At 37.9% G+C, this 9,932-nt stretch overlaps 1 pseudogene; it reads left to right on the top strand.

Annotated features, from left to right (window-relative positions):
- RPL18AP15 (ribosomal protein L18a pseudogene 15) lies at positions 7,559–8,169 on the top strand (annotated as a pseudogene).

Raw genomic sequence — 9,932 nt, 5'->3', positions numbered from 1 at the left:
GAAGAAAATTAAACCTACAGAAATAGAATTAGCAAAGTTAAAGTTCTCTTGCTGCCTGGGATTCTCTCTGGCAGCCAAGAAAAATATGCTTGGGCTTAAACAAACTTGAGGTGCATTTCTCCAGGAATGCAGCTTACTTGTCTCCATCAGATGAGTCAATTTGGACATCTCCACGCACCCTCCAAAACTGTCAATATATAATTTCAAACCAAGTAAAATCATAATACTCAGGCAAATATAAAGTGAAAAAGTATCAAAGATTTTATTTGACTTATTAATAAATGAGGGAACTTTTAAGATGTCATGACAGGGTCAAACACCATTTTAAAACATAGAATATTGATAGGATGATAAACTTCCTGGATTAGATACAAAGTGGGTAATGTCTCATGAAGCCATAAAACTTTGAGGTTATCTCTCTACTGGAGAGAAATTATTTGCATCTAGACCAGACAAAAATCTACATGTTAATATGCAACTTCACTAAATCTGGAACCTTAAACAAATAGTAACAGTGAGTTGAATGACTTACTAACCTGGGTCCCCTAGCCCAGGGGTCAGCAATTTATAGCCTATAGGCCAATCTGGCCATGCTTACTTGTTTGCATGTGGTGTGTGGGTGCTGTGCTTTCATGCTACAAGGGCAAAGTTGAGTACTTGTGAAAGAGACCATATGGCCCAGAAAGTCAAAAATATTTATTATCTTGACCATTACAGAAAAAGTTTTCTCACCATTGCCCTAGGCAATGCTTGAGTTGCCTACACCTTCTTATGAGATTGAAACTGTGTGATCCATAACTCTTTTTGCATTACTTTTCTGATAATTTTTCTAATATTGCTTTGATTCTGCCTTGGTAGAAATGCTCTCCCACTTTTGGGTTCATTCATTTATTTTTATCCCTCTTATAACATTATATTACGGTATTATGATCTTTACTAGATTTCAGCTCATTGAGAAGATTTCATTTATCTTTGTGTCTGCTATAGCACTAAGCACAGGGCCTTGAAAATAGTAAATATTCAACAAATCTTTGCTGAAATTAATGGAATCAAAACTAAAATGTGAATGTGAAGGCTCAGGGAAGCCTGGAGGTTAGGATTGTTTAGGGAGGATTGCAAAGATAGTTGGCTGGGGGAGTAAATGAAGTCCTATACAAAATTATAAAAATGTAAAAATATTACTAATTCTTCTACTGAATTTATTTATCTTCAAGGATCCAATCACTTACCTACAATGTGCCATAGTTCCTCCATCTTTGTGATGTGAATATAATTTGTCAGTTACCTGTTTGGAATATGTCATAGTTGGTTCGTGTTGCTATGAAGGAATACCGAAGACTGGGTAATTTATAAAGAAAAATGGTTTATTTGGCTCATAGTTCTGCAGATTGGACAAGGAGCATGGCACCAGAATCTGCCTTTGGTGAGGTCCTCAGGCTGCTTCCACTCATGGCAGAAGGTGAAGGGGCTTCAGCCTGTGCAGAGATCACATGGTGAGAGCAGAGGCAAGAGAGAAGAGGTAGATGCCAGACTCTGTTTAACAACCAACAACCAGCAATCATTGGAACTAATGGAGTAAAAACTCATTTATTACTGGGAAGACTGCAGTAAGCCATTCATGATCTGCCCCATGGCCCCCAAACCCCCCCCCTTAGGCCCCACCTCCAACACTGGGGATCAAATTTCAACATGAGGTTTGGAGGATCAACTACCCAAACTATAGCAGAATGTCACTAGACCCATGAAATATAATTTGTATTTTATTGTTCTTACTAGAAATTAACACATTTGTTCAATAAAAGTTTAGCCAGTATTGACAAGGCCAAAATGTTGAAAAGTATTTTTATGTAATAATATGTTTCAATTTAAAAAATGGAAACATGTTGTGACAAATAGTTTTTTGTTACTTTCATATGTAACATATAATTTAGAATATATACAGTTGACCCTTGAACAATGTGAAGGTTATGAACCCTGACTCCCCCACACACACAGTTTAAAATCTGCAAATAACTTATGACTTCTCCAAAATTTAACTGCTAATACCCTACTGTTGACAGGAAGCCTTACTGACAACAGTCGATTAACACAAATTTTGTAGGTTATATGTATTATATATGGTATTCTTACAATAAAGTAAGCTAGAGAAAATAATATTAATAAAATTATCAGACAGAGAAAATATATTTACTGTTCATTAAGTGGAAGTGGATCATCATAAAAGTCTTCATCTTTGCCATCTTCTTGTGAGTAGGCTGAAGAGGAAAAGGAAGAAGAGGGGTTGGTTTTGCTATCTCAGGGGTGGCAGAGTTGTAAGAAGTGGAGGTGGTGGAAGGGGAGGCAGGAGAGGCAGGAACACTCAGTGTAACTTTTATGGAAAAAAATCCACTTGTAAGTGAAACCGTGTAGTTCAAAATTATGTTGTTCAAGGATCAATTGGAGTTTGAATGATGAAATTTTGGGTTTTCCAGGATATTTGGGTGGTATATGAAGACAAGTAGGCTGAATGTTACCTTGACTGCCCTAAAGTTTCAAGTCATCACGCAAATTGTACTCAGTAAATATAATCTGAATTAATTTGAAATACAGTTTCCTCCTATCATGAAGGGTAAGGAAGTGGATAAACAGTAAATGCTTTCATTTTTAGCTTATAAATGCGTAGTTCAACCATAGTCTTATTGCCATTAGCAGGCTTTGACCCTGGCTCATCTGACATTGAATCAAATATATAAATGCTCAAAATATGAAATATGTTATTTCAGCTTGAGATATTTGTAAAATCTCTGGGTTTTCCTAAAATACAGTAATTTTAAGCATACTTAAAATATTTTACTGCCTTTCCAATTTTACCTGAGCCTATATTTTTGTGTAAAGGGTTTTAAAAATTTTTGGTATGAAGGATTATTCAGCTAATGGAAGATACTAACTATTGTTTTAAAAAGTAATTAAGTGGGCTAGTCATTTCAGATATTTAAGTGAGAATGCAATTTAGTTGATTTCACAGTTAACAATTTAACATCAATAAAAAGGAGCTCCTAGTTTTCTCCATGGGCTTGTCTGAAACAAATGAATACCAATTAAAGTATGATATTTCCACTAGGGCTTAGACCATCATTTTTCTAATTATTGTATAAATCTCTCAGTGGAAAATAATCTTCATCTATAAAGAAATAATTCCCAACAGAAATCTTATATCTTGTAGAACACCAATTATTATACATTTCTCAATACCTTTGCCAGAGGAAGTATGCATCAGTCAGTGAATTAAAATCATGGCAGTTAAGGGAAAGATAAACTATATTGGAAGCAAGTAAAAGCATTGAGTATATGGAATAGCTCATTCAACTTTATATCTTGATTTTGCTTCACTAAACTGGGAGTGTTTTTATATCTGTTTTCTGCTATTGGGTAAAATTAAATGAGCTTTATTTCATAAAGAATAATGCACTCTTATACTCTTATTCCCTCTCATTTAGTTTGCTAGCTGTATAAAATGGACTTACTGCTCATAACATAATTTGGGTGGTAATATAATCTATAGCTCTTAGACTATTGGCAAGGCTTACATGTTATGATTTAACTGGACATTAACAAGGCCATTTCTATATATTATATATATATATATCAAAAACAAACAAACAAAAACAAGGCCATTTAATTCATGCTGATGACAATAGCTTAATTATTTGTATGGTGGTTTGTAAAAATTAGTTGGCTGAAATGAACTGATCTTCATGCCATAATCCATTCATCTAATTCACTTGGACATGGAGTATGGGTTCTTCATTAAAATAAAAGGATATTACATTTTTTATGAAATCTACTTTAAAAAATTTATAAACATCAGAAATTTATTACTTAAAATTCTGGAAGCTGGGAAGTCCAAAATCAAGGCAACAGCAGATTGTCATTGTCTGGTGAGAGCCTGTGCTTCATAGATGGCTCCTTCTATGTGTCCCAGGAAAAGGGGATCCTGCAAGTCTCTTTTGTAAGGGCACTAATCCCATTCATGAGCCCTCATGATCTAATCGTCTCCCAAAGATCCCATCTCTTAATACTATCACAGTGACGATGAAGTTTCAACATACGAGTTTTGAGGAAACATCAACATTCAGACCACAGCAATTTGTCTGTGCTCTCTGGGCATTTATGTTTTAGCTGGAAAGGTTAGAATGGCACCAGGAAACAAGCCAGGAAGGGACTGTGGATCCAGAAGCAGGTAAGATCCTTAGGGAAGTGGGCAGGGAAAGCCCTGGGGAGGTAGTCTGTCTATACCTAGTGTTCAAGGCATGGCAGGATGTGAAGGTGCATGGGCAGGCAGGGAGTTGGCAGAACGCATCAGGAAAGGCATGGGTTGGGGAGAAGACAAGGTGTGGTAAGAGGCAGTGAATAAAGAGTCCCACTGGAGTGGATTCCTTGGAGAGGAGCCAGGAACCAAAGGGCTATTTCTGATACAGGAAACAGAGCATCCCACAAGTAAGTATCACTCTGGGTATGGGGAATCTATGGGCATTTAGTGGGTTTTTATCTTTTTTAAAAAACTCCTATTTTAGGTTTGGGGGTGCATGTGAAGGTTTGTTACATAGGTAAATTTGTGTCATGGGATTTTGTTGTACAGATTATTTCATCACCCAGTTATTAAGCCCAGTACCCAATAGTTATCTTTTCTGCTCCTTTCCCTCCTCTCACCCTCCGCCCTCAAGTAGACCCAGTGTCTGTTGTTTCCTTCCTTGTATTCATAAATTCTCATCATTTAGCTCCCACTTATAAGTGAGAACATGGGATATTTGGTTTTCTGTTCCTGTGTTAGTTTGCTAAGGGTAATAGCCTCCAGCTCCATCCATGTTCCCACAAAAGACATGATCTCATTCTTTTTCATGGCTGCCTAGTATTCCATGGTGTATATGCACCACATTTTCTTTATCCAGGTTGTCATTGATGGGAATTTAGGTTGATTACATGTCTTTGCTATTGTGAATAGTGCTGCAATGAACATTTGTGTGCATGTGTCTTTATGGTAGAACGAATGATTTATATTCCTCTGGGTATATACCCAGTAATGGGGTTGCTGGGTCAAATGGTAGTTCTGCTTTTAGCTCTTTGAGGCATCACCATACTGCTTGGAACTAATTTACACTCCCACCAACAGTGTAAGTTCCCTTTTCTTCCCAACCTCACCAGCATCTGTTATTTTTTGACATTGTAATAGTCATTCTGACTCGTGTGAGGTGGTATCTTATTTTGGTTTTGATTTGCATTTTTCTAATCATCAGTGATATTGAGCTTTTTTTCATATGCCTGTTGTCCACATATATGTCTTCTTTTGAAAAGTGTCTGATCATGTCCTTTGCCCAGTTTTTTATTATTATTATAATATATATTTTTTTGAGATTGAATCTCGCTCTGTTCCCCAGGCTGGAGTGCAGTGGCATGATTTCAGCTCACTGCAACCTCCGCCTCCAGGTTTCAAGTGATTCTCCTGCCCGAGCCTCCCGAGTAGCTGGGATTACAGGCGCCTGCCACCATGCCCAGCTAATTTTTGAATGTTTAGTAGAGACAGGGTTTTGCCATGTTAGCAAGGCTGGTCTTGAACTCCTGACCTCAGGTGATCTGCCTGCCTGGGCCTTCCAAAGTGCTGGGATTACAGGTGTGAGCCACCGCTCCCGTCCATTTGCCCACTTTTTAATGGGGTTGTTCGTTTTTCTCTTGTAAATTTGTTTAAGTTCCTTATAGATGCTGGAAATTAGACCTTTGTCAGATGCAGAGTTTGCAAATATTTTCTCCCATTCTGTAGGTTGTCTGTTTACTCTGTTGATAGTTTCTTTTGCTGTGCAGAAGCTTTTAAGTTTAATTAGATCCCGCTTGTCAATTTTTGTTTTTGTTGCAATTGCTTTTGGTGTCTTTGTTATGAAATCTTTGCCTTTCCATATGTCCAGAATGGTATTGCCTAGATTCTTTCAGGGTATTTAATGAAATCTACTTTGAATAAGTAGAAATACAAATTGTATTATAAATACAAATTTGCATTCTGACTATAATAAGTATAAATAAAATCTAATTGATTATTAGATAAACAATAATAAAAACTCCCAAATAATATCATATATCTCTGCATTAATCAGCTTTAAGTCAATGTTTGGCATATCACCATCACAGACAGTTATTAATTCCATTTATACATGTCACTGGGTATTATTCAAAGGAAGTAAGACAAAATGGTTCTTGCCTCTAGATGTTTATAAGCTATGAAAATCACCACTGACGCAGACCTGAATGCTTCTTTACATCAAATGTTTTCATAATGTCTTAGAATTCGAAGGGAAGTCATCTAGTCCAACTTCCCACTCACTGCAAAAATCTGACCTGTAGTTTGACTAATACACAGTGTCCCATAGAAAAAAATGGGCTTTGCAGTCAGACCTGAATTCAGAGTCCAGGCTTACAATTCATTAGCTGTGTTACTTAATGTTACTTAACATGACTCTTTATGTCCTAATCAGTAGAATAAAAATAATGATGATGTTTACCTAGGCTAATATTTATTGAAGCAGTCATTATGTGCTAGGCCTTGTTTTTTGTTTTTTTTTTTTTGTTAACATAGTAAGCACTTACATTTTAGCCACCCTTCCTTCTCTGTCATATTTAGGGTTTCCTAAGCAATATGTGTTAATTGTTTAGCATAACATAAAGTACCTTTCCCTTGCCAGGCACAGATCAATAGGCCAGTAGCTAAAAGATGTAAGAGCTGAAGTCTGTCTTTAGCATACTCAGCTTCCCCTTCTTGCAAACACCAAACAGATGAGAGAGGAAAAAAATAATTTTGGTCTAAAGCAGTGGTCTCTAGACTTTTAATTGCAGGCTCCTAAACTTGAGCAAACCCCCCAAATTTAGTTATAGGTAATATACATTAATTATTGTACTATTATGTTCATTGTAAAACATGTTAAACATTAGAAGTTGTAAAACAAGATGAAAAAAAATCTAAATACAAGGAACTGCTAGACGGAATATATAAAGAACTCTTAAATCTCAACAATAAAAAGACAAATACTCCAATCTAAAAATGGGCAAAGGAACTGATTTCTGACCAAGGTGCCAAGAACACATAATGGGAAAAGAATAGTCTTGCCAATAAATGGTGTTTGAAAACTGGATATCCACATGTATGAAAACAGACCCTAACTCACACATTATATAAAAACCAACTCAAATTGAAGACTTAATTGTAAGACCTCAAACTATCAAACTACTAGAAGAACACACAGCGGAAAAGCTCTATGACATTGGAGCAAGATTCATTGGTCTGGGCAATGAAATTTGGATATGAACCCAAAGCACAGGCAAAAAAAAAGCAAAAATAGACACATAGGATTACATCAAACTGAAAAACTTCTGCACAGTAAGGGAAACAATCAACAGAGTGAAGAGACAACCTACATAACGGGAGAAAATATTTGCAAAGTATATACCTGATAAGGAATTAACATCCAAAATATAAAGGGGCTAAAACAACTCAATAGCAGGAAAACAAATAATCTGACTTTAAAATGGGGAAAGCCCTTTTGCGGGTGGCGGCGAGCTTGGAGAGGACGCCCTGAAGGCATAGCGCACTTAAGAGAGTACAAGGTGGTGGGTCGCTACCAGCCCACCCCCAAATGCCACACACCGCCCCTCTATGGCATGTGAATGTTTGCGCCTAATCATGTCGTCGCCAAGTCCAGCTTCTGGTATTTCGTATCTCAGTTAAAGAAGATGAAGAAGTTTTCAGGGGAGATTGCCTACTCTGGGTGGGTGTTTGAGAAGTCCCCTCTGCGGGTGAAGAACTTCCGCATCTGGCTGCGCTGTGACTCCCTGAGCGGCACCCACAACCTGTATCGGGAATACCAGGACCTGACCACGGCGGGCGGTCACCCAGTGCTACCGAGTCATGGACTCTCGGCACTGCGCCCAGGCCCACTCCATCCAGATCATGAAGGTGGAGGAGATCGCAGCCGGCAAGTGCCGCCGGCCGTCCGTCAAGCAGTTCCACGACTCTAAGGTCAAGTTCCCGCTGCCCCACCAGGTCCTGCGCCGTCAGCACAAGCCACGCTTCACCACCAAGAGGCCCAACACCTTCTTCTAGATGCAGGGCCCTCGCCCAGGTGTGCCCCAAATAAAATCGGAAAGGCCAAAAAATAAAAATAAATAAATAAATAAAAATGGGGAAAGGACCTGAATATATATATATGTCAAGAGAACACAGGCAAATGGGTCAACAGGTATATGAAAAAATGTTCAACATCACTAATTATCAGGGATATGCAAATTGAAACCACAATGAGCTATCACCTAAGACTTGTTAGAATAGCTACTATCAGAAAGACAAAAGATAAATGTTGGTGACGATGTGGAAAAAAGAGAACCATTGCAAACTGTGGGTGGTAATGTAAATTTAGTACAGCCATGATAAAAAAAAAAACTGTATAGAGATTCCCTGAAAAATTAAAAATAGAGCTACAATATGATCTGCCAATTCCACTTCTGCATATATAGCCAAAGGAATCGGAAATAAGATCGTGAAGAGAGAATACTCACTTCAATGTTTATTGCAGGATTATTCACAATAGCCAAGATATGGAATCAACTTAATTGTCTCTCAACAGATGAATGGATATAAGGAATATATACATAATGGAATACTATTCAGCCATTAAAAAGAAGATAATCCTGTCATTTACAGTAACATGGATGAACTTGGAGTAAATTTTGTTAAGTGAAATAAACCAGACGCAGAAAGACAAATACCACATGATTGTACTCAAATGAAGTATCTAAAAAAGTTGATCTCATAGAAGTAGAAAGTACAATGGTTGTTACCAGAGTCAGGATGGTTGCCGGAGGGAGTTGGGATGATGTCGGTCAAAGAATACAAAATTGTTAGGAGAAATAAGTTCAAAAGATCTATTGTACAACATGGTGAAGATAGTTAACAGTAATATGTTGTATTCTTGAAAAATGCTAAGAGACTGAATGTTAAATGTTCTCACCACAAAAAGTATTACTATGTAAGGTAATGTATATGTTAATTAGCTAGATTTAGTCATTCCAGAGTGTATATAAACTTCAAAACATTATTTTGGGCTGGGCATGGTGGCTCATGCCTGTAATCCCAGCACTTTGGGAGGCCGAGGTGGGTGGATCACCTGAGGTCAGGAGTTCAAGACCAGCCTGGCCAACATGGTGAAACCCCGTCTCTACTAAAAATACAAAAATTAGCCGGGCATAGTGGCATGTGCCTTTAGTCCCAGCTATTCAGGAGGCTGAGGCAGGAGAATTGCTTGAACCCGGGAGGCGGAGGTTGCAGTGAGCTGAGATCGCACCACTGCACTCCAGCCTGGGTGACAGAGTGAGACTCCGTCTCAAAAAACAAAAACAAAAAGCATCATTTTATTCATAATAAATACATACAATTTTATATGCCAATTAAAAAATAAAATAGTAAAAATAATAATGAGGTATATCCTCTTTTTTTTTTTTTTTTTTGAAATGGAAGCTTGCTCTGTCACCCAGGCTGGAGTGCAATGGTGTGGTCTTGGCTCACTGCAACCTCTGCCTCCTGGGTTCAAGAGATTCTCCTGCCTCAGCCTCCACAGTAGCTGGGATTACAGGCGCCCACTACCATGCCCGGCTAATTTGTATTTTTAGTAGAGACGGGGTTTCACCTTGTTGGCCAGGCTGGTCTTGAACTCCTGACCTTAGGTGATCCGCCCACCTCGACCTCCCAAAGTGCTGGTATTACAGGCTTCAGCCACCGAGCCTGGCCGAAGTATACACTTCTTAATGTACAAAGAATTTAGATAGATATTTCTTCAAATAAGACATATAAATGGCTAATAAACACATGAAAAAGTTCTCAACATCTTTAGTCATCAGGGGAATATCAATCAAACTCA

Source organism: Homo sapiens, chromosome X, assembly GCF_000001405.40.
Source record: "Homo sapiens chromosome X, GRCh38.p14 Primary Assembly".
NCBI classification, from domain to species: Eukaryota; Metazoa; Chordata; class Mammalia; order Primates; family Hominidae; genus Homo; species Homo sapiens.
Note: the sequence above shows the minus strand (reverse complement) of the source record. Positions and strands in the feature narration are given on the sequence as shown.